Raw genomic sequence first — 25,572 nt, forward strand, 5'->3', positions numbered from 1 at the left:
TACTGGATGGAGCAGGGGAGCAAAAGCCCTTCAAATAGCCTGTCACTCAGACTGGTCACAAAATCAGAGCTGCAGTTCCTGGGCTCAGGCTGCAGGCATGACATCACCTTGCATTTGGGGTCTTTCTGAAGTATTTTCTGCAAACTCAAAGTGTCAAGTCTTGGGGAGATCCAGAAAGTAGAAATTCCCACAGCACCCCAGACTCAACCATGAGTCAATGAGTCAGAGGCAAGAACAGAGAGCTTGGGCTCTGTCTCTGCCACTCCTGGGGTAGGATTCTGGACTTGCCCTTGACTAGATATGAGACCTTGAACAACTGTTTAGTTTCGTGTCTGTAAAGTGGAAATAATAAGACCTGCCCTAAAGGATGGCTCCAAGGATTCCTTGTGCAGCCAACACAGTCTTTATTGAGCTTCCACTATGTGCAAGGCACTGTGCTAGGTGCTTGTATTGGTTTGTTCTCATGCTGCTAATAAAGACATACCCAATAGAGGGTAATTTATAAAGTAAAGAGGTTTGACTCACGGTTCCACATGGCTGGGGAGGCCACACAATCATGGTGGAAAGTGAAGGAGGAGCAAAGTCACATCTTAAGTAGTGGCAGGCAAGAGAGCGTGTGCAGGGGAACTCCCCCTTATAAAACCATCAGATCTCATATGGGAAAGACCCGCCCCCATGATTCAATTACCTTCCACCAGGTCTCTCCCACAACGTGGGAATTATGGAAGCCACAATTCAAGACAAGGTTGGGGTGGGGACACAGCCAGACCATATCAGTGCTACAGAGACAGTGGTCTCCGCAGATACAGCAGACTCCACCATCTAATGGTGAAACATGCCATAAACAAGTAAATAACAACAACAAAAACACAGGGGTATATATTTCAGTAATTGGCATCAAGGGGATAGAGGGGAGGGAGTGCTGGGGACAGGTAGACGCTCGGTTAGGGAGCTGTCAGGGAAAACCATTTTTAGGAGATGACCTGAAACCAAGACTTGAAAGATGAGAGGTCTGGGAGCAGTAAGAGGAAGGGCACTGCTACAGGGGGAATGGCATGCATGGAGGCTCTAAGCGGGAAGGAACTTGGCATGTTCAAGAAATAGAATAGTGGTTGTGTGGCTAGAAAATGGGGTAAGGGGCACAGTGGCAACAGTGGCAGGTGACTAAATGAGACGTGGACATAGCTATTGCTCTATTATTACCTTATTTCCACGTTTCAAAATAAAGGTGACTGTATCTTCAAGGTATCCCCTGTGAGTTATGAGCTGTACTTCACTGTGTTTTGGTCAGCAAGGCTCCAGGCCCAGAGAGCAGAGCTGTTGGCATATCACTTATCTGCCTGCTCCAATTCCCAGACCACCTGCTGCCACCAGCCCAACCCCACTATGGGTCCTCACCAGTGCCCTCTCCCCTTCCTTCCCCCACACAGCCAGATGGCATCAGCTTGCTTCTCTTCTAAGATATCAACTCACCCACTAGAACATTTCCATCCACTCACTGCATCTTGGGGCTGTCTCATTCTTCCTTTATCAGAAGCTGAAAGCTCTTTCTCTGACCCTGTCTCATTTTCCCTTGCACTAAAGAGACCTCACCCCCCAGAAACAGACCTTTTCTGATTTTTCCTGTTGGCATCAGGTGACTGCAGTTCTGCACAGTAACTAAAATTCTCATGTAAATCCCGTGAACAGAGAGGTATGGGAAGGGGGTCATCACAAAAAGCTTAAACAGTAATGTTAATAATGGAGTGATGGTCAGGTATCTATAGTAATAACACAGGACCAATACCTTTTCTTTATATAAATTTTATATGCAACGGGCTTTCACATATTGTTTCCTTAGCTCCACATGAGAGCACCCTGCATTATCCCCATTTTACAAAGGAATAAACGGAATCCTAGCTACCCCAAGCCACTGGAACTAAGTGGTTGCAGGTTTCCTGGTTCTGAGCATTTCCTGCACTCCATTGTCTCCTGTTTCCTTGGGAAGCTCCGGAGATGGAATGCCTGCTTCCCCACCAGATGGTCACTGGATCTCCTTGTCATGCATATGGTTAAAGCTGGAAGTAGTGTCCCTCCCACCTCCTAGAGACCAGAGATGCTCTGTGTATCATTAGAGATGTAGGACAGTGGGCTCTTGTATCATAAGCCAAAACAGTGGGCACAACAGTGATGACAGGCAATAGTGTTCCCGTTTCAGCAGCAGGACAACAGAGGCGTTTCATTCATCCACACTCCTCGGCCAAGTACTGGCTGAAAGCAGCTTCAAATAAACAACCATGACCCTTCCCAAGGGGAATCTCCCGCCTGGCTCATCAGCTCACTGGAACGAACTCAGTCCACCCAGGACACAGGCATGACCATGGGCTGTTTTCACTGAGGAAGACATTTAGAGGCACAAGCCAGAGTCTCATAGGATTTCCCTTTGGTTTACTAAAACAAATACCTCTCAGGATTTTATTTGTTTTGTCAGAAAAAAATCTGTCTTGCCAAACACCTGCCTCCTGCACAGCATAACTCATGGCTATGCTTTGACATCAATGTAAAGAGAACTTAAGCATTTCTTTGTTTTTTTGAAGCAAATAGAAGAATATTATTTATTTCTAGATTTTTATATAAAAATAGGGCCTAATGGAAGCCCCTCCCTGAATGTAACATATGTTTTGAATTTCCATATTCAACACTTCACAAGATATGTCCACCTTCCCCCGGCTTGAATCTACCTTTTAGGGAAGGAGTTGGGAGAGAACCGTGTGGCTGTAGTTTGGGAAACACCATCAAGGATACTGACACATACCCTTGGGTGAGCACCTCTCCTGGCTTAACAGTGTAACCACCCAGATCATATGCCTGGCAGGGGTGCAGGCACCTTACAGGAGGAACAAGGTTATCAGCTGGCTCTTTGTTACTGCAACCTTCATTTTTATCTTAGACATTTGATCAAGGAGGCTCCCTCCTGTCCTCTCCCTGTGAGTTCACACCATCCCATGATTTTCAATATGTAAACAGCATACTTTTGTCAACAATATCAGGAAGGAAGAAGTATATGCTCTATCTTCCCCCCCATTCATACTTATACTCCTGGGGAGCTGCCCCAAGCAAAGAAGCCTGAATCTGAGAATAAAGAGAAATCTGTTATGTACCCAGCGGGTCCCGGACACAATTTTCCCTTTGAGAAGCTGCTATTATCAGCGCCTTCATGATTGTCTGTGGTCACGTGTGTTCTGGATTTTCCACAGCTCAGCACTGGGTGTGTAGTAGGCATCTTGCAGTACAGGTCTGTGGCTGATTGATGGCAGAACAAGTCTATTAGTGGGGTTTTAATGGAAGCCTGGACTTGAACCTTTCCCTTCAGGCTTCCGGGATACCTGTGGAGGAGGAAGAGTGTACTAATTAAGGTCCTAGCAAAAACACTGGGATTCATACCCTCATAGATAACCATTTTTAGCTCCTGACTTGGTTAAAAGACAAGCACTGTGATTAGAGCTTTTAAAAAATGTTATTGGAGGCCGGGTGTGGTGGCTCACGCCTGTAATCCCAGTGCTTTGGGAGGTCAAGGCAAATGGATCACGTGGTCAGGAGATCGAGACCATCCTGGCTAACATGGTGAAACCCCATCTCTATTAAAAACACAAAAAATTAGCCGGGCATGGTGGTGGGTGCCTGTAGTCCCAGCTACTGGAGGCTGAGGCAGGAGAATGGCATGAACCTGGGAGGTGGAGATTGCGCCACTGCATTCCAGCCTGGGTGACAGAGCAAGTCTCTGTCTCAAAAATAATAAAATAAAAATAAAAAAATAAAGATAAATGTTATTGGGATGGAGAGCTTCCACTGTCCCAAATGTGGTGATAAGAATGCATTGAGTCTTGATTCGTTGGATTGTTTAGAAAGGCCTATACTAAGTCCTAGCCTGAACACCACCAATGCTTGAAGTGGTGAAACAGATACTCATCTGTCCCCATTGGGCTTCAGCCATCTACATGTAACAGGACAAGCTGAGGTGACCCACAGAGCCCACGCTGGCCAACTCAGGAAGATGAGCCACAGATACCCCAACAGCAATGACAGGAAATGACCTGGACCCTCCCCTGAACTTATTCCCACTTCTCTTCCTCCCTCCCTCCTTTTGTCCTTGTCTACATCCTGCTGCCCTCCTTTCCCATTCTCAGACTCCCATTGGGTGTGGTTCCCCATGTCTTGCCCCCCGATGGCACTGGCCTGACTTCCCTTGGGCAGGAACCCTCTCACCAGCACCATAGCAGGGCCAGCCTGGTGCCCCCCAGGGGTGACACATATGGTAGACAGGGTCAGCTTTCTCAAATGCTGTATACAGCATGGCTGGGCACATTCATGTAGGCTAAGCCACTCCTTTACCTGGCCCTAATGCCCTGTGATGAAAAAGCCTGTGCCAGGAGAGTGAACCCAAATTTCAGACCACTGGTCTAGGACTTAAGTCCAATAGTTAATTTCAGGTCCAAGAGTTAGGACCCAAAAGGGACTGACCCTGGCCAAAGCCACTGTATGGCACACCTCTGGGAACCCCCATTCATATGGAATACAATGCTAGTAATGCCCCCTGGGGATGTGCAGCTGCTGCTGAGGCAAAGAATGTGAGGAACAACCATTGCTTGAGGACCATGCATTATGTTTGTACATCACATGTGATTTCTTTTACTCCTGGCCACAACATAAGGACATATTATTAGACCAGTTTCATAGATGAAGGTAGTAATAAGTGGGGCCAGAATTTGAGTATCTCTTTCCTGCTCCAAAACTGTTGGTCAAGCTTCTTCCTCTATAAAATGAGATCAGTAGCTCAGTGATCTCCAAGGTCCCTTTCAGCTGAGGTTCTGAGGCTGCACTGTTCAGTATGGTGGCCGTAAGCTACAAGTGACTATTTTAATTTAAATTAAATAAAACTAAAAATCTAGTTCTTTGGTCACACTGGCCACATTTCAAGTGCTCAGTAGCACCAGTGCCTAGTGGTGACTATGTTGGATGGTGCAGATGTAGAACATTTCCATCATCCATCAAGTTGTATTTGCACAGCACTGGTCTAGGGATTTAGATAAAGAAGAAGACATGAACAAACAGCATAAAAGCAGAAATACAAGGCCAGGTATGGTGGCTCATGCCTGTAATCCTAGCACTTTGGGAGGCTGAGGTGGGAGGATCATTTGAGGCTAGAAATTCGAGACCAGCCTAGGCAATACAGTGAGACCCCATCTCTACAAAAAATAAAAATAAAAATTAGTTGGGTGGGCTGGGCACCCAGGTGCCCAGGTGCTCACGCCTGTAATCGCAGCACTTTGGGAGGCCAAGGTGGGTGGATCACCTGAGATCGGGAGTTCAAGACCAGCCTGACCAACATAGTGAAACCCTGTCTCTACTAAAAATACAAAAAATTAGCTGGGTGTGGTGGTGGGCACCTGTAATCCCAGCTACTAGGGAGGCCGAGGCAGGAGAATTGCTTGAACCCAGGAGGCAGAGGTTGCAATGAGCCGAGATCACACCATTGCACTGCAGCCTGGGCAACAAGAGCAAACTCCATCTCAAAAAAAAAAAAAAAAAGAAAAGAAAAGAAAATTAGCTGGGCATGGTGTTGCATGCCTGGGGAAAATGAAGTGGGAGGATCCTTTGAGCCCAGGAGGTCAAGGCTGCAGTGAGCTATGATTGCACCACTGCACTCTAGCCTGGGCAACAGAGCAAGACCCTGTCTAAAAAAAAAAAAAAATGTCAGAAATACACATGGACGCTGGCCAGAACCTGGACACGAACCAATGGGCCGAGTTTCAGTTCTTGGGTACTTCAGAGAACATAGCTCTCCCACCTTTCCTCAAGCTGTTCTCACCCTGGACACTCATCTGCATCACCTGCCCAAGCCCTGCTTTAAGGGTCTTGATGCAAGGGGTCTGGAGTGGAGCCAGGGCTTCCATATGACCAGAAGCTCCTGGGTAATGCTGACAGGATGCCAGGCTTAAGGATGGTATCATTATATCCTGAGACAGAATCCTGACCTACAGGCTGTGGAGGGCCCTAAACCTGTGGCCTCCTGATAGGGCCTCCCCTTTTTCAGTTCTCCAATGACCCAGACACCTTTGGCTTAAGAAATAACCATGCAGAATCCCCAATCCCCATCAGCACCACTGCTTAGGCTTGACTGCAAAACCCAAACTTAATTCATCCCCATCCAGATGGGATTTCTCATCTATTCTCTTGGAAGAAGGTTCAGTGCGAATGCTCCATTTTTAATTTCCTCCCTCATTGTGCGCTCTCTGCCAGTATGGGGGTCAGTGCGACCTGGCTTTCAAAGCCTTAAGACGCAATATCCTAGAAGGCACCAGTGTGGGTGTTATAACTCATTTCATGCCTCTTTGGGTGCATGCATATAAAAAGGCCTCTCTAATAATATCGTGATCTTATTGGTAATAATGATGATGACACCAGGGACCAGACACTTACTGTGTGCCCAGTGACTAAGGTGAATCTCTGTCTGGCTTTCTCTGTTCTCCTGTCTTTTGTCCCTTCCTATTTTCTCAGCCTTTTCCCTTTGTCTCTGTTGTTTCCTTCCTCACGTTCCTTCTCTCTTTTGAATGGCCATAGTATAGAATTAAAGTACTTTTTGTCATTGCTATAATTATAGGATTGAATTTAATACTTACATCTGACCCTAAAAACACAAAGCAAAGCTGTGTCTCAGTTACGTATACATATGACCACTCTTCTTGATTTGCCCTCAAATCTTTGATACTAAAAACATTCTTTCCCTGTTTTTTACTGTGGGCTCTTTGAGAGCAAAGACTGTTTTAAAGCTGCGGTTGGTGCCACAGGGAGCCTGTCCTGTTGATGATGATGATAATCATAGCAATCATAGCAACAATCTATGGTTCCAAGGGATATAAGTAGAACACATTGCTGCTGCCCACACAGGAGATGCAGCTACTGCAAAGAATGCTGTAACAAAAGTAACTGATGATCACACTGGGTGTTTTGCCCAAAGCTTCGGGACCAGTTGGTTCACGTGGCAAGTCCTGCTGGGCTGGGGCACATTAACCAGGAGTGCATTGTTGCCAGGCTTGCAGCAAAGGCTGTCAGGCACACACCAAGAGAGCATGGAGGAGCATCGAATTGGAATCAGTCAGACCCGAGCTCAACCCTTGCCTTACCCTTGGCCATCCATATGCTTTGGGCAAGTTATTCAATCCTGACTCTGTTTACTCATGTGCACTCAATCAAGTTGAGTGAGAGAACAGTTACACCGGCTCAGTGGTAATACTTAATAAATGCTCTTATTTGGCTAATATTTATTGAGTGCTTTCTCTGCGCTATGCATGATACTGATCCCTTAACATGAGGAAACTGAGGCTTAGAACAGTTTAAGTTTTTCCAAGATCCCACATAGCAAGAGGAGGAGCTGGCATTTACCCACTACCTAAGGTATCACCCATAAGTTAATGCCCAAGGAGTAAAGAGGAAGGGCCTATCTGAAGGCCCAAATTCTCAAGTTCATCAATGCAAGGGATTGCTGATGTGCTAACATTCCTGGATCCATGGACTCCCCCTGCAGCCCCCTTGCATAGATGTTCAAACACTCTAACTCAGACCAGCTCTTCCAGTCACCAGCCCTGCGTCTTCTGTGTACCCTAGAATAAGTAAGACAAGCAGAGTCTGTGCGTAGGAAAGAAAAGTGGGCACAGAGGGCTCAGCCAGCGTTATAAGCCAGTATAATAAACAAATAAATTACTCCTCTCTGGCTGAACTAGCTGGTGAGTAAAAGCATTGTTGTGGTGCCCTCTGCTGGGCGTGTGTTGCTTGTAATGAATTTGTGGCAGAACCACACCTGGGTCTCAGAACTGTCTTTTTCCACCCTGGCTGGAGACTGTAGGCCACCAGTGTCCTAGGACCTGTTGGAGACAGCTCTGCTGGGCCTTTTGTGGTTGTCAGGGTGTAGCTTTTTTCTAGTGTGGAACACTGATTTGCCTGAAATAGACTATTTTTATAGCCTGGCATTCCCTACTCTCTGCTGTTGGGACCAGAGAGGGACTTTTCATTTGTTAGTCTTGGCTTTTGCAGAGAATGGGGGAGAATTTCCGTCCCATAAAAAAGGACCCCAGCCACCACATATACACACAAGTCTGAGCCACTGCAAAAATGAAATATTAAGTATTGTTTCCCCTTTTTAAACTTGTATTCAGTGATTTACAGTGAGAAGCTTGTAGATTTTTTTTAAAGGCCAGATACAGTAAATGGCTTCTGTGAGGCTGCAATAATACTGCATCTGGCAACTAGGCTGTCAGCTTCATAAGGGCCAGCACTGTGTCTTACAGCCTATAAATTCAGTCACAAACATGCAACCAAGGATCACAAACAAAAGGCCATCCCTGCCCTCATGGAGTTCATTGTGTGTGGAAGACACAGCAAGTCAGTGCACAACGATAACAGTGTGGACAGAGCTGTGTGATCACACAGGAGGAGCAACCTAGCCAATCCCAAGGTACACCAGGGCCAAGGGCGTGTCCCTCTTGATACATGGAGGTTTGCCATAGAATGATGTTTTCCTTCATTTTTAATAACTTCACTTGCCAGTTGACCACCATCCTCAATCTCTATCCTCTCTGAAAGCTGCTCATTTTCTGTCAGATATTTAGCAGAATCGCAGAATGGCTCTGAATACCTAGCCCTGTGAAAACCTCGGGTGTTGTCAAGCTGCATCATCCAAACTGCTCTGGACACTCGAGACAGGGTCAGTGCTTGCTGTGCCCTCAGAATGAAGGAGATGACACTCAGCCAAAAGCCACTTTACATGTGTGTTAGCTTGGCTCTCCTCCAAGTAAAACCTTGCTCTCCAGGATGTAAGTGTAGATGACAGTGGGATCCTTTTTATTTCTTTCTCTTACTCCATAATTTTGTGTAAGAAATTGGAAAAAAAAAATTAGGCACTTTGAAAAACTCATTTTGTAACCATTCACTCGATAGCAAACATTCATTGATTTCCAATTCTGTACTAGTTACTGTGCCAGGGGCTACAGATGTCACTGCTAAAAGAACATTACCCTCAGTTGCTCCACAGTCTAGTGGGGGCCCCAGGCCAGAAGAGAGATGTTTGCAAGAGTGCAGTAAAACATAAGTACAGAAGAAGCCCATGACCACCAGCCCAGTTGGGGAAGGGGGCAATTGGTAGATTTCCCACAGGCCATGGCCTGCTTGAACTGAACCTTATCGACGCACAGTGTCTTGAGGAACTGATAAGGCAAGGAGAGCTCATCACCTCTGGGTTGCGTTAACCTATGACCATTGCATCGAAAGGCAGGTCTGGAGGCCCATCATGCTCTCTCTTCTATATTTGAAGGGATAGGAGCAGGTTGTAACACTTGGTTCACAGCTTAGGGGGTTCCATATTTGTTCTGTAAGCCCACCTTTCTCCTAGATCACCCCAAGGTTTCGTGGGGAAAGTAGAGGTTTCCTACGACTCTGAATCTGAACTGGCCTGCATTACCACTCTCCAACAGAGTGAACCAGACGCCCTGTATGTGAGGGGTCCTGGGCCCTAGCCTGGCCTGTGATGATGGGGATGCTGGGTTTTGATCCTCATCTATCTCTGTGTCTTTCCTCAGACTGGTCCAGAGTCCTTAGGAGGCAAGGCCATTGAGTGCATCTTCCTCTTCCAACCTCTAATCTTAAAGCTCAGTGTTGTCACCCAAGTATCCTGTGCTCATTTTTGCTGTCTTTCTTTCTTTGTTATTCTCTCATACCTTTTTTTTTTAAGCTACCATTATCATACAGTTTACTGTGAGTGCAGGGCAAGATTAAGTTTCCACGACTCTCAAGGAATTAAGTCACTTGGCCAAGGTAGTGTAGCCGAGGTGGTCACGGAGCCCAGGCACGGCTGACTCCTGGGTCCAGCTCCAAAGCACCCCATGGCCCTGCCCACAGCTCTTCTCTGAAAGAGCTTGCCTTTGTCTCCTAGGCTAGGTACCTGTGGGAGAGAGAAAGGTGAGGAAATGAGCACACTTTGCACTGGGACAGAAGGGAGTAGGGGCTGCTGGTGCTGACATCAACCAGCAGGTGGAAGCCCACTGCAAAGGGGGTCTGAGTTTTGGATCAGTACTTTGTTTAATACTGTAATCATAGATGCTTTCAGTGGCTTTGTGAATATACCCTTTCCTTCTTAAGATTACCAATGTAAAAACAGCAAAATAAACAACCAGTAAAATATAATTCCTTCATTAAATGGCAAAGAAAAACTTTAGTCTCTTTCTATTTGATAAAATTCTCTATACAACATTTGAGCTTCACAATACAACATATATATATATAATGCATTATATATCTATAATGCAATTCAAGTTTGTTCCTGTCAGTCACTTGAATTTCCATTTCTGCCACTTATCCTTAGGTTAGAGTTTGTTTTCCTTCCTTTAATTTAGGAGCTACATGGGAATATGTTGTAATAGTCCTGTGCTGTGGATGGATCATACCTTGCTCTGGGATCTCTTCAGGTTTGGAGGTCTTTGAGGAGAACATGCTTTCCACTTTGCATGCCCGAGAGCAACTCATCACACACAGTTGGCCCTGAGAAATATTGGCCGCAAGAGTGGTGGATAAGAAAGAGCCGTATGAGAGCTGGCCCCGTAAAATTACACTACATCTCATTCTTTCTACTAGGCCTGGCTGACTTGCAAGGGAATAAACATTTACCTGGCCTTATATACTGATTTGCAGCTTTTAAGGCTCACGTGAAAAGAGCCATTACCATTAAACATGTTTTCTCCATGCTGGACAATGTCTGCCCCCAAAAGGTGAAGGCACACCTCCCAGGCACTGTACCTTATGAGCTCACCCCTTCCCCTCTTTCCTTTCCACAGAGGTCCCAGTCTGCCTTCTCAATCACTGGAGAAGAAGCCCTGAAGACCCCTCCAGTGGAGGCTCCATCGAGGCAGCCAAGGGACCAAGGCCAACACCCGAGAGCAGAGTCTGCTCTGCCCAGCTGGAAGAGTGTGGACAGGCTGGATGAAACAAGTAACTGTTTTAAGCAGTATCTAGTTGGTCTGTGGGTTTCAAAAGTGTGGTTTGGAGACATCTTGGCTATTGCATGGCCACTCTGCTCTTCTTCCCATAAGTCTGAACTGGTGTGTGTCCCTCTGGGCTACCAAGTCATGAGGCCTCCAGCACAACACACAATATATAATGTGGTCATGTTCTCCACCCAGGCAGTTTTCCTAGCTGCTCTGGCAGAATGAAGGCTCTTAGGGTGTCATCATATTCTATGCTCTGTGCTGAGACCTGTGGGACAGATTGGGGGCTCCTGGACAAGTGTGTTCACATCACTCCACTGCACACCCCACTTCAGCTGCCTGTTCTATGTGGACTAGGAGAATGTGTCTTATGTGGGCCAGGAGCATTAAACCAACCTCTCATGGCATTTCAACTTTCAAAGGGATTTGGGTCCCAGCAAATTTGGGTCCTTAGGGCTGGTTTTAAGGATGTCCTTTCTGAAACTGGATAAATTAGTTAGGGTAGCATATGCCACTATAACAAGTAAACTGAATATCTAAGCGGCTTAATACAATCATTTTCTTTTTCATCACACAACAGTGCAGTACAAGTACCCCTGGCCTGTGGGAAGCCTTCAGAGGCCAAAGTACAAGGTTCCCACCTTGTGGCTCTATCATCCTCCAGGGCCTCTGAGTCTTTTATGGGCTTATCCATATTCAGACAGCAGATGGAGGAAGGCAGCATGGAAAAGGCAGGTACCTGCTTCTTAACTATCTCAGCACGGAGAGCTCACGCCACTTTCACTCCCAACCTGTGGACAGGAACTGGTCACGTGGCCCCACCTCAATGCAGGCCCGGAGAAATGGCATCCTGGCTGGGCAGATGCATACCAGTAACACGGCTGGGCCATGAAAGAGTCTTTGGTGGGCAGTTGTCTATCCCTGCCTGAGGGACATCCTGAGGAAGGCATTGATGTTTGCTTGCACCTCTGCTCTTCCTGATTCCTCCCCCTAGAATGTCCTGCCTCTACATGGGGCAAGTCAGCTTGCCTCTTTAGAGACTCTTCAACATGTATGGAATGTGGTCCTTTATAAAGCTGTTGAGTCACGTAATCCCTCAAAATGAAGGGGCTCAAATGAACTGAGTCATTTTCCTAAAGTCTCACATCAGAAGACTGTAAGTTGCTTGGACCCATCACTGTGGGTGACGGCCGAGGGCCATGAAGCCCCTGTGCTCAGGGGGCCTCCTGGTCTACATGAATGTCAGACTAAAACTTCCCCCAACCCCTGCACAGGTCTACTCCTCTCTTCCTATTTCCTGCATACACACACTGTGTCAGGAGGCCAGGCATATTTGTCTTCACATGAAGAAAGCATTAACAGTATTCTCATCCCATGTCGTATCAGATTTAGACCCCTTTCCTGAATAATGAAAACAACAAAAAAGATTAACAGCAGCATAGCCATCCTAGTAATAAGCTTTTAAAGATTGTGCTATTATTTCTACTCTAAAAGGGAAAAGATTTAACCAACAACTATAGAAACAAAATCCATTGTTACGACAGTGCAAAGAATCAGAAAACATTAAATATTTTTAACTGTCATTCTAAAGATTTACCAAAAGAGATTATTTTTATATTAACCTTTTAGTACCTATTAGTAGAAACTGCAGTGCCATGACATTGCAGAAATTCTGCAGCATGTGATCGTTTCTTTACTTATGTATATGGTGTTTGCTTTTGCTTTTTAAGTGCATTTTTCTTTTCTAGATATGCCTTTCTTTCCTCCCTCTGCCCTCCCAGTCTATTCATATTCATTCATTCATATTCTCGCTCTCTCTCTTCTTCCTCATTTTCTCACTTCTCTCTCTTTCTCTATGGATTGCAAATGCACACAGAAAATGGACTGTTAGATTCCATAGAGTACATGAGAATACCACATAATAGAACTTCAATACACAATATCTAGCTTTCTAAAATCACTTTAAAACATACAGAGTCACTTAAAGTATAATAAAAAAAATACAGAGTCCATATGTAGGCACTATTTTATTTTTTCCTCCAACAGCATTACCAGACACTGTCATTATTTTGTTTTGCAGATAAGAACATTGATGGACAGGGAAGTTAAGTGACTTGTTCAAGACCCCACAGCCAATGTAGGCAGAGCTGGTCCTCAAATCCAAACAGCATGACTCCAATTTGCAGGTTTTCAACTACTGCATTATAAGTGTCTCTCTACCATAAAAACAAACAAACAAAAAACAAACAAAAATTCAGACTTGCAAAGTGATAAATGTGTAGGATATTATAAAAACAACTACAAGATGCTCTATTTCACAAAATAGTTTCCAACTGGATTATGAGCATTCATAATAAATTTGCAAAGGAATTTTGTTTTCAAAACATGATTTTGTACATAATTTTCTGTAAAATTAGGCACCCATAGGTAATTTTTCAATTGTATATAAACATAAAACTTAGTTCCACAGCATCACACACCCAAAAAAAGATTTCACATTCTGCTCAAAACTCTATGCATCTCTCAGGATAAAGATTTAAAATTTTTTAAAAAGGACTTGGGTGGAAAACTTCTGGTTTTCTGAGGAATTTTTAGCCCTTGACATGCTAAACTGTCCATGCCAGCCTCAGAGGTCTTGAGGGATGTCTGAAATGTTTAGCAGGAAGCAAATTATTCCTACAGGCATTGCTCAATCTCAGTTGGGCAGAAACATCAAATAGAAGCGTTCCGAAGGTGGAGGTCATCTTAGAAAGTGAATGCCCACTGGGCTATATTTGGCAGTTGTGTTTATGCCTCAGGAGAAGGGTTGATTCAGGAGCCTGTTCGTGCACAGTTGGGGTCAGTCTTAGGGGCACTGCGGTTTGGGTAAACCACAGTAACTCCGCTTTCAGTCTTGACGCTGCTTATAGCAGTTAATGGGTTTCCCCCAAATGCATTTTCACTTTATAAACCTTGATTAGGCATCTGCTGTATATGCTGCGTGTGTTCAGTGTTGGGGAAATAAAGATCGGGGAATTGTCACTGCTCTGGGATCACTCAGTGAGAGTTAGTTGTCTGCACAATAATGGAAGAGCAGGAATTTGGAGAAAGAGGAAGAGGGAGCAGGATCCCCGAGGGGTGTTCCTGATGGACCGGGAGACTGTGGTATTGGAGCACAGGTGCAGCTTTGATAATGCTGCTCAACAACCACCAAAGTTTTCACATGTCTGGGTATTCAGGGAGCCATCTGTGTTTTTGCTAAGAAGTAAAAGTTTGCTGAGGGAAAATTTGGTCAACTTCTAGCTTCCAAAGAGGCATGAGGCAACCTAGGGTTGTAAAAAAGCAGGAGAAGGAGAGCTGGCAATGGGTCAAATGCCACCTCACCATGTAGGGGACCACATTTATAACATGGTCAACCCTAGAGCCAGCCCTGAGTGGCATTATCAAGGGTCGCCTCCTTTGGATTCCTCCCAGGGCCCCAGGAGAAGCTGTAGACAGCAGGGCTCATTGAGAGCTGCTCAATGAGCCCCGTCGCCCCTATAGCCTTTGGTGCCTGTATTCATTAACAAGTAGTATTCATGTGCCCAGGATGAGACGCAAAGTTGGCCAGGGGCTTGGGGCATAGCAGTGAAGAAGACGTGGCTCTGCCCTCAAGGAGCCCATGATCAGGATTGAGGGGTAGGGTAGACAACCAAGAAAATAAACTATAATATAGTTTGAGTGTTAAGAAATGAAAGCTTTTTGGCAAAGCTCAGAGAACAGAATAGCCAGCGTCTCAAGGAAGGAAGGCCAAGCATATGCAATTGAGGAGTGATGTATAAGTCAAGTCTTGAAAGATGGTCCAGAGAGCAGCCTCAGTGACAGATTAGAAGGCCCAGAGGACTTTTCCTTTCTTCTCAGAGTGAGTGCTCCACAGCCATGCTCGGAGTCCACTTTGCATCATGTGGGCGTCTTGGTTTGACTCCCACCAGAAGCAGAACCTAATATGAGGATCTGAAGACCTATAGTTTATTTGGGAGGTGAGCCCAGAAAACACACAGGGAGGGGAGTAGAAATGTGAGACAAGGAAAGAAAATCAGGCAATAAATGACTTGTTACTGAGCAGATGGCCACTGTGGGTGGCTGGAGCTTGACCCCACTGGGGACTCTGGGAGCCAGTGTAGAAGACTCACCTGCCTGGCAAGCAAAAGAGGGGGGATACTTAGCCACCAGCTCCCCTACTCATTGGTTGAGGGCTGCTCCCAGGAGGCGATGAATCCTGGGTACTTCCACTCTGCCCCTGGGGCAGGCAACACAGGCTCTAGTAGCCAGAGCAAGCCTCAAGTAAAGACTTGCAAGTGCTGCCAATTGGAAGTCCAGCTGGCATACACTGAAGTCGTGAGGGCCAAGGTTTGGGGTGGGGCACACACAGAGCCTGCTGCAGTAAAAATCAATATAACTACTTACTAGCCATGCATAGCTTCACTGAGAACCTGAGCATTCCTGAGAAACCCTTACCACCTGACTGACAATCCCCAGACACAGCATTAGGAGAATGCCAGCAAAATAGAAATACTTTTCTCAAAAGACCTGCTATTACCACCACCACAGGTAGAACCCAATAATAAATGGTAATAATAATGCTAGCAAGCCACTCTTCTGAATAGCTCCATTGTCAATGAAAATAGTGTTGCTGTATAGATATTAATATGTCATACTGAATAGTGACTATCAGATACATATATATTTTCTGTATGCATACATATGGAGTGCATGGGTGTTAATTCATAACCAGGTGTTAAGTACTAATGCTAAATCTGATTCAACAGATATAAGCTAAAAATAGCTCAGGGCCCTAAGTATAGCAGGCACTAGGATTGATGCTTTATATGCATTATCTCATATTAATTCTAGTGACAGCCAAAGGTGGGTCACACTGACCCCACTGTTGGACAAGGAAGTAGGCCCAGAGGTGTTCTCTAACCAAGGTCACCCGCTAGTAAATTCAGTAGCTGGGGATCAGCCCTGCATCTGCTTTAATCCAAAGCTCTTGTTCTTTGCCCTATACTAAAGCAGCCTCCTTCATTTATAGACAAGGGGAAAGGAGCCATCAGGAATTAATTTCCTCCCTGAGCAGGCATGTGTAACACACTCACAAGCATCCCCTCGTGCAGTCCTCTGACAACCCAGTGAGGTTTTAGCTATGCCCTTTTTCACCAGTCAGAGAACCGAGGCACAGAGGATCACATAGCTGCCAGGTGGCTGAGTGGGGCTTCCTCCCGGACCTCTGGCTTCGAGACCACTGGTCTTTCCACTGCACAAACTGGCTCTGGGACACAGCAGGCTAATTTTCTTGTAAGGATAAAGAGATGCCTGAGATCCAGGCCCTGCCTCAGGGACCTTGTCCTCATACTCAGCAGGTGTGTGACAGGTAGAACACATGGAAGAACGTGGAATGAGCCAACCAGGCCCTCACACCAGGAGAGCTCAGAGGAGAGGCCATGATATAAGCAGGGAGATGAGAATGTCCTCCAGGAAAAGGCCATTCCCACCAGTGGGATGAGGTGTTGTAGAGTCACTAGGGCTTTACTACATGGAAGTGGTGGAGAGGGACACTGAAGGCAAGAGCAGCAGAGAAAGGCAGGTGTGTGGTCTCAGGCTTCTTGGAGGACCCTGCTTGTATCAGCCCACTGCCAGGGACCAGCGTCCTCCTCGTCAGTGAAAGCCCCACTTCCTGACTCTCAAAATAAAAATAACTCGATGTCCTGCCAGTCTGAGCTGCAGTCAGGCAGTGGAAGTGGAACTGGGTTGCTGTTGAAAACATATGTTCCACCAGCATCTGAATTCCCCTAAGGCTGTGGTTCTGAAACAGGCTTAGCAGGTACAATGCTCTGTGGGCAGCACTGTGAAATACTGATAACTTTCCTTTCATTATGTGGAGCAGTAGCAGTTTAACTGGTAGAAAACCTGTGTGTTTTAACTAGCATAAAGTAAGACCCTGCTTCAGAGTCCTACTGCAGCAGGGCTGTGGCTGCTACAGGCCTTAAGCCCCAAAGCAGATGTCCACACACAAACTGGGGAATGGTTTCTTCAAAGCCCTGGGGTCCTCATCACTGCCCCCAGGCAACCCTGCAACAGTCCTGGTTAAAAGGAAAAAAAAAAAAAAAAGACTGGGTGCTGTGGCTCACGCCTGTAATCCCAGCACTTTGGGAGGCTGAGGCGGGTGGATCACCTGAGGTCAGGAGTTCGAGAGCAGCCTGACCAACATGGTTAAACCCCGCCTCTACTAAAAATGCATAAGTAGCCAGGTGTGGTGGTGTGCACCTGTAATCCCAGCTACTCAGGAGGCTGAGGCAGGAGAATCACTTGAACCTGGGAGGTGAAGGTTGCAGTGAGTCGAGATCGTGCCATTGCACTGCAGCCTGGGCAACAAGAGTGAAACTCTGTCTCAAAAAAAAAAGACAGCTCCTGTTGGCAACTGCTGTGCCTGAGACCTCAGTCCTGGGCCAAGTACGAATAGCTAACGGAGCAGCATTTCATCTTACTCCCACCCCACAGACACGTGGGAAGAAAGCATTTTCCTATTCACCTTAAACAAGACAAAACAACTTTTACCAATCCACCCCCAGCATGCAGATCAATCCTTGGGACCATGCTCCAGGCAGACCTGAGCCCAGTTTAGACCACTCCAGACCATAGTCACAGCCTGAGAACTGCTCCAGCTGTCCTTGCATGGTGCTCTGCAGCTGGCCAAGGACTTCCGTGGCACAATCTATAGCCCAGAGCTGCCTTGGAGTCAGGTAGAGGATGCACCTCGTCCTCACTCTAAAAGTTAGCAGCTCTGTGACCTTTAACAGTTACTTAACTTCGCTCATCTTCATTTCCTCATCCATAAAATGACATTGGAAATACCAAAGTTTTTTGGCCTCAAGTCCTTTCCAGAGTGAGGCATGTTCCTTGAGTTAAAAATAGACCTATGTGCCTATCTCAGGAGCCTATTACGAAGTAGGATCTATAAAAGAGCCAAGAGCAGATGTGTTAACCTCTGAGGTCTGCCAGGGCAGGTGGTGGAATTGTTTCCCATCAGTGAGGGGAAACTAAGGATCCAGGAGACAAAATTGTAGCCCAAGGTCAAAGAGCCAGAAGCTGGTACTGCCAACTGCAGCCCTCTCCCCTCCCCTTCCAGGCAAGCCTAGGGCAGGAGTGGGACAGTGCTGAGGAGACTGAGATGGTATCAACCCTGGTAGACTGAAATAGGAGCCAGATCTCTGAGTTTCTCTGCATCTGTGAAGCACTGGGACCCTTTGAGCTTTCAAGAGATTCCTTGGGGAACTTTGAACTCTGCCCACCAATTGGGTTTGCCTTCCTGGGCTTCCTAAAGGCAACTGCTCTCCAACAGCCCCACAAGCCACTCTTGGGGAGGTAACAAGTGGCAACTTCATCTTGCATTAAAGTGATAACAGCCCCTCTCTGCTTTCTCTATCCTCTCCATCCACAGACCTGGCCCCAGTTTTGCAGAGCCCCGACGGGAACTGGGTGGCCCTGAAGGATGGCGCTCCACCCCCCACCCGACTACTGGCCAAACCTAAGAGCGGGACGTTTCAGGCCCTGGAGGTGGCCTCCAGTGTGGCATCTGCCTACGATGAGATGGGCTCCGATAGCGAGGAAGACTTTGACTGGAGTGAGGCCTTGAGCAAGCTGTGTCCCAGGTCCCGGGCCCTGCCCAGGAACCCCCAGCCTCAGCCCACACAGGCCCAGAGCTCTGACCAAGGCCCCATAGCTGCCTCCCCATCCTCTGCACTCTCCCCCAACCCTGAGGCCATGTGCTCTGACTCGGAGACCTCCTCCGCAGGCTCTTCCCGAGAAGTTGGGCACCAGGCCAGACTGTCCTGGTTGCAGAGGAAGGCCCCCAGGAACCCTGCAGCTGAGAAGATGCGCTTGCATGGAGAGCTGGACGTGAACTTCAACCCCCAGTTGGCCAGCAGGGAGACCTCGGACAGCAGCGAGCCGGAGGAGGCCCCCCACACCACAGACCGGCGGGCCAGGAGGTGGAGAAGAGCCCGACTGGGCTCAGAAGAGCCAAGCAAAGAACCATCTTCCCCCAGCGCCCAGCTCCGGGATCTAGACACACATCAGGTAATGGAAGTGCATGCGTGCAAATGCACACACACTCTTTAGGTAGGATGTGCCCTACTCCAAGCACAAGTGGCATAGAGTCCTGGGTTTGGAATCCGCAGACCCAGATTCTCATCTTGGTTTTGCAGCTAAGTAGCTGAGTGCCTCTAGACAGGTCACATCAACTCTTTGGGACTCCACGTCCTCTTTGGAGATGACAGCCTAGAATTCAAAGTGTGGTTTGTGAGTGTGGCCCCCAGACCAGCAGCATCAGCACCACCAGGAAACTCATTAGAAATCTGCCAAATTGGAGATTCTGGGCATGGGACCCAGCCGTGTCTATTTTAACAAGCCCTCCTGGTGATTCTACTGTGCACTCAAGTTTGAGGGCCACTGGCCTTGGGTTTAGGGTGAGGGATCTAGAGTCAGACTGCCTGGGTTCAGATCCAACTGTGTGGCCTTGGGCAAGGCATCTCTCTAGTTCTCAGTTTCCTCATCTGTAAAATGAAGATGATATTAGAACCCACCTCAAAAGGTGTTCATGACAAGTGAAAGAGATGTTTATAAAGAGCTAAGCTCTGTCTGAGATGTGACACTAGGTCTCAGTAAACATTATTTCAATATTCTGTGATTCTTTAGTCTACATCAGACCCCTTCTCTGGATCCTCAGTAGTTCTTCCCACATGGTTTAGTTCAAGAAAAATGTGATTAAAGCCATGAATTTTCTCCCTTTAAAAATGCACTTGTATACACACACATACTCACACATGCACACTCACACATGCACAAACATACTCACAATTTTGCTTTTGCTTACAATTTCAGATAATTCATGGGCTCCCAACCAGACTAACTTTATATTCTCTAAATACACCCTGCTCATTCCCAGCCCTGTGACTTTGATTGTGCTATGCCCTTGCCCTTGCCCCCACCTCTTCTGGTGAAGACCTGCACATCACTGTCAACTCAATACCAAACCTTGTGGAGCCCAGCTGCCATGCCCTATACTCTTAGTTTGGCCAGATAGTGTCCCCTATGGCTGCAGACAACTCACGTAGGTCCAAAGATATGGTCCAAGATTTCACCAGTGTCTTCTACAAGATCTTCTATGAATGCCTCAGCCACATCCCTGGTCCTGAGGCCCCCATGAAGACAATTGAGGACTCAGGTCCTCAAGTCATAGAATTTGGTATCAGTCCTGATTGACCTGCTAACATATTGCCTAGAAAAGGTATTTTATTTAGTCCAAGCTTCGTTTTCTCCTCTGTAAAACAGAAGATCATTAAAAATCTGTCTCATGGGATTGTTATGGTCTTAGAATAAAATTAAAAACTTTGGTTCAAGTGTGAATCATTATTGTCTAGCTCAAGTGGAGACTGTTGTCCAGAAACATGGAATGATTTGCCTCAAAGGATACTCTTGAGGGTTTGTCTGCATGATTCACTTGCAGGTGTAAAATGTCACGTCTCCACCTCAACTAGCTTTCTATTTATTCTGAAATGGCTTGAAATTTGTCTTCTGCTAATCCTTGCAAGGCATTGATAGAGAAGAGGCACTGCCTCTGCCTCCTGGGGAGTGACCTTGAGCTAGTGGCAGTACCCACTCCTCTCCACTAGGTGGGGATGGTGCTGCACTTCCAGAGACATCAAAACCCTGATGGGTTTTTTTTTTTGGTTAATTATTATTATCATTATTTTTAATGCAGAGTCTCACTGTGTTGCCCAGGCTGGTCTCAAGCTCCTGGGCTCAAACGATCCTTCTACTCAACCTCCCAAAGTGCAGGATTACAGGCATGAGCCACTGCAACAGGCCCTCACCTTTCTAATTCTCCCTCTGATTTCATTTACTGCGGCAGTTAGTTTTCTTCATATATATATATATATGTCATATATATATATGTCATATATATATTTATATTTATTTAAGTTATTTACTTTTTAATTATATAAATAAATGAATATAGTATAATGTAAAAAATACTTAAAACATACAGATGCAATTCCCCTTGACCACAACCCTAAATCCCTGTCATCTCCACCAAAATGACTGCAAGTGCATTTGGTGTGAATCCATGCAGATCTTGTGCATTCATACATAAAGTACATTTAGAAATATAGTTCAGTGAATGTGTTTTAGCAAAATTGGCAACATGCTGTCCATATGCTTCCACTGCTTTCTCCTAACAGTAAGTGATAGAGGTGTCACCGAGGTGTCACCATGTTACCCACAACAACAGGTGAGTTCAAAAACAGTCCAATGACCACAACCAAGGAGGATTAAGGAGAGGATTTTGTTACCTGCAACAAGTAAGAAGGACGCTGGGGATAGCTCCTCAAAGCAGCGCCTCCCCAAACAATGGTGAAAACAGGGCTTTTCTTGGGCTGGTTAGCTGAGTCATTGTATATAGAGGTGGAGACAAAATAGCACTGGTGCAGTTGCCCATCATGCTTCTACATAGTAACCTGTATAGAAAATGCAGAATAAGCTCCTCCCTGGGAGGGGCCTGTAGTATGGTAATGAGGAAAGTTCACCAAAGCTCATCTCCAACTCAGGCATCTCTGGGATCCAACCAGTTTTTGTTTTTCCTGGACTGAGCTTTTTCCGGGAACTTTTTGAAACAATAAGAACTGAAGGTGCAACAGTAACAAGTGGGTACTTTTTTTTCACAGTGCACACCCAAAAACCGGAGGACCCAAGGTTACAAGGCACACAGACCTAGGCATTCAACCTGCAAAAGATTACATTGAGATGGTGTATCAAGGGGGGACTGTGGGGATTGTAGAAGTCTATCCAGGGTGTGCAATAGGGGATGCATTGTCTGTGGAGAATGTTAAAACAATAATAGATCCAACAAAAGTCAGTCTTATTTTCACCTTGCACCATGTCCAGACAATTCTAAGCAATGCTAGTGATAACATACTCTTCCTGCCTGGTTCAGTGGCTTCCAACACCTAACTCCTTAACCCCCTTGGTTCACCACTGTTCCATAATGATGGGTATTTAAAGACTTTTTCAATATCTTGATTTTATAAGCAGTACTGCGGATAATAGGATATTTAAAGACTTTTTCAATGTTTTGATTTTATAAACAATACCGCAGAGAGTATTGTAGCATAAACCTCTTTATACAAGTATGAGAAGTGGAACTGCTGACTGGAGGAGTATATGGGTCTTTAATTTTAAAATAGACTTGCCAAATTAAGCTCCCAAAACTTCAGAGCAATTTACATAGCCATAACAGTGTGTGAGTATGTTCTCTCATGTTGTCAACAATAGTGTTGTCAGTCTGCTAAATTTTTGCCAATTTTATGTGAAGAAAAAAATCCTCTTTGGCTAACACTTTCATAATTACTACTGAAATTGAGCAATTTTTCCTGTGTTTAAAGCTATTTACACTTTTCTTCTTTCATCCATCCCGCTAGCCTTGATATGCAATTTACATTTATACTTTTTTTATCTGTTATTTTATTGGACTATTTGTCTTTTTCTTACTGATTTTTAGGAATTAGTTTTATTTTCTAATTATATAATAGATTTCAGATCTTTGATGGTTACACGTGAAACTATTCTCTCCTTGTCTCTTTTGCCCTAAGTATATTTTACATACAAAAATTTTTGTTCATAATAATTTATCAATTATTTTTGGTTACTATCAGTTATTTCCTTTATTATTTTTGTATTTGGTGTCTTAAGGCCTTAAATTTGCAAGGGTTAAGGATTTTTTTTCCAATTTCTTCCTAATCCTTCGTAGTTTTCTATTTTCAGTTTAGCCCCTTAGACCGTCTGTACTTTATCCTTCTGGGTGATATGTGATAAGCTCTAACCTTCAAATTAAGCATTTGTCACAAAATTATTATTAAATAATCTATCATTTATCCGCTGGTTTCAGATGCCCCTTTAGTATATTTTAACCTTTTATTTCTATAAGCCTGTTTTATTTCTTTACTTTCTATTTTGTTCCATTGATCTAGAAGCCCGATTCCCTTACAAATACTATTTTATTTTAATTATAATAACTCTATAATATATGTTGCAATCTGGTGGATGGTCTTCTCTTCACTGTTGTGGATTTTTAGAAAATGATGATATCATTTTCTAAAAGCATTTTGGCTTTTCTCAGTCCTTCACTTAAATGATTTGTTAAAATCTGCTCAAGTTGCAAAGAAGCCTTTTTAAGTTTTGATTGGAATTGCGTTAAATGTATGTATCTACTTCAGAATAATTGATATCTCTGTAATATTAAGCCTTTCCTATCAATAATGTGGTATTTATTCCCACTTATTTACTTTCAGTGAAGTTTTATAGATTTTTTTCAAAGCTCTTATACTCTTCTTGTCAAGTAATTTTTAATTATCTTATACATTGTGTTGATATTGTAAATGAGATTTTATTTATTACATATTCTAGTTGCTTTTCACTGGTGTATAGAAACTGTTAATTTCATGTTTACATTTTATAACTTAGTTCCCTAATGGATTCTCTTCTCAGTTCCAGTAGTATTTTGGGTGATCATCTTAGCTATTCCAGATAGATAATCATATTGTCAACAAGTAATGACACTTATCTTTTCCTATAATGTATACTTATTTCTCTTTCTTTTTTTATTGCATTGGTGACTAATTATGCTACACTGTGACATAGCAATGACATCTGGCACCTTGCCTTTGTCTTGCTGCTACCCTTAGTGACCTGCTTCCAGTGTTTCACTATTAAGTGGGATGCTTGCTCTAAGTTTATTAGATACTATCAAAATGATAAATTATCTATTCCTAACTTACTAAACAATTTAAATCAGGAACGTGACTGCTTTTTGGCAGTAGATGATCATAGACTTTTTCTTTTTTATTTTTATTTCATTTTACGTTATTTTTGAGACAGTATTTTGTTCTGTCACCCATGCTGGAGTGCAGTGGCACAACGGCTCACTGCAGCCTTGACCTTCTGTGCTCAAGAGACCCTCCAGCCTCAGCTTCCCAAGTAGCTGGGACTATAGGAGTTCATCACCATGCCCAGCTAATTTCTTTTTATTTTTCTGTAGAAATGGGGTCTTGCCAGATTGCCCAGGCTGGTCTTGAACTCCTGAGCTTAAGCAATCCTCCCACCTTGGCCTCCCAAAGTGCTGGGATTACAGGCATGAGCCACTGTGCCTGGCCAGCTTTTTCTTCTATAATCTGTTAATGTTGTAAATCACATTAATAGATTTCTCAATTTTGAATAATCTTTTCATTTGTTGCATAAATTTTACTTGATTATGGTTTTTTTTTAATAAAAAGCAGATTCCACTTGTTGGTTTCCATTTTGATGCTATCTCCTTCAGTTTGGTATCAGGTGATACTAAGAACATGGCAAGGGTTCCCTATTTTATATTATTTTTAGAACACTTTATATGACATAATAATTTTCTGAAAGTTTGGGAGAATTCACCTTTTAAGATCTTTTACTTTCTTTATAGATTTCTTCTTTGGTTGTTAGACTATTTAGATTTTGTAACTCTTCTTAAATCCACTTTAGTAATTTACATTTTCACAGGCAATCATCTATTTAATCTAGATTTTCAAATGTATTGATATTATACCTAATATTCTCATCACGTTTTAAAAAAAATTTCTCTGCACTATAGTTATGCATCCTCTAGTTTATAGATTTTTTTTCTCTCTCTTGCTCTCATTCTCATTCTCTATCATTCCCTCTTTTCTTACTTGAACTTACCAGTCTTTTTTTTTACTGGTGTCTTTGAAGAACCAGCTGTTACTTTCATTCATTAATCCCAGGGATTTTTTATTTTTGCTTCCTAGTCTGTTAATTTCTACTTTTATATTTATTAATGTCTTCTTTTTACTTTCTTGTTTTCATACATGTTTTTCTATATATTCTGATATGTAAAATATTTCATATATATTTCCAATATAGCTAATGAATTTTCCCTCAAATTCAGTTTTGTTTCCACCCCACTAGCCTTGATATGCAATCCATTGTCAAACTTTTCCAAGTAATTGATCATTTCCAATGTAATTCGCATTTTAATCAAATTAAGTTAGTGAGATGGATAACACTTTGCTTTGTTTTTGCATTTTGTTTTGGTTTTGTCACTAATTTTTAGTATGCATTATGAATAATGAATATGGCTTACATAATTGCTAATGTTGGGAATTTGTTGAGACTGCCTTTATGATTTAATAAATGATCAGTTTTTGTGAATGTTTTATGTGTGTTTAGAAGGAACACATGTTCTCTGTTTTTTGGAGACAAAACTGCATGTGTATGTATGCATTGTTCTGGGCATTAACAAGACAAGGTCCTGTCTCTTGAAGGTCACATTCATTTCCCTTCATTTCTCTAATTTCCCACCCTTATTTACTGTTGTCTTCATTGTCCTGTAGTTTTCTTAATTCCTATCTTTTTAGAGTCTTGTGAGGGACTCATGTTAGGAGATGCAAAAGTACATCTGTCATCTCACTCTCTGCTAGATGCTTCACCTCATGGGCCA

General features: G+C 44.2%; 1 protein-coding gene and 1 long non-coding RNA gene across 8 annotated transcripts in view, besides 2 other annotated features; one reads left to right on the forward strand and one right to left on the reverse strand.

Moving 5' to 3' along the window:
• Nucleotides 1–25,572, forward strand: part of MYRIP (myosin VIIA and Rab interacting protein) — a 451,408-nt gene that overhangs the window by 362,444 nt on the left and 63,392 nt on the right. For all 7 annotated transcript variants that reach the window (NR_104316.2, NM_001284423.2, NM_015460.4 and 4 more), the window contains 2 exons: nt 10,863–11,016; nt 18,469–19,106. Coding sequence is in view for 6 of the 7 variants with exons in the window: in NM_001284423.2 (NP_001271352.1) it covers nt 10,863–11,016; nt 18,469–19,106 (792 nt within the window). In the remaining variant the exon portion in view is untranslated. The remainder of the gene's footprint in view (nt 1–10,862; nt 11,017–18,468; nt 19,107–25,572) is intronic.
• The window catches only part of EIF1B-AS1 (EIF1B antisense RNA 1), a 136,554-nt gene continuing 112,769 nt past the window's right edge, over nt 1,788–25,572 (reverse strand). Inside the window, exon 3 of the long non-coding RNA NR_033965.1 lies at nt 1,788–3,365. This is a non-coding gene — a long non-coding RNA (EIF1B antisense RNA 1). The remainder of the gene's footprint in view (nt 3,366–25,572) is intronic.
• Nucleotides 13,732–13,841: an enhancer, noted in NCBI's record as "active region_19711". NCBI's record gives its function as "activates an Ori minimal core promoter by ATAC-STARR-seq in GM12878 lymphoblastoid cells {active_cell/tissue: GM12878}" and the evidence as "EXISTENCE:reporter gene assay evidence [ECO:0000049][PMID:35858748]".
• Nucleotides 14,182–14,231: an enhancer, noted in NCBI's record as "active region_19712". NCBI's record gives its function as "activates an Ori minimal core promoter by ATAC-STARR-seq in GM12878 lymphoblastoid cells {active_cell/tissue: GM12878}" and the evidence as "EXISTENCE:reporter gene assay evidence [ECO:0000049][PMID:35858748]".

The sequence above is a fragment of the Homo sapiens genome, chromosome 3, assembly GCF_000001405.40.
Source record: "Homo sapiens chromosome 3, GRCh38.p14 Primary Assembly".
Taxonomy (NCBI): domain Eukaryota; kingdom Metazoa; phylum Chordata; class Mammalia; order Primates; family Hominidae; genus Homo; species Homo sapiens.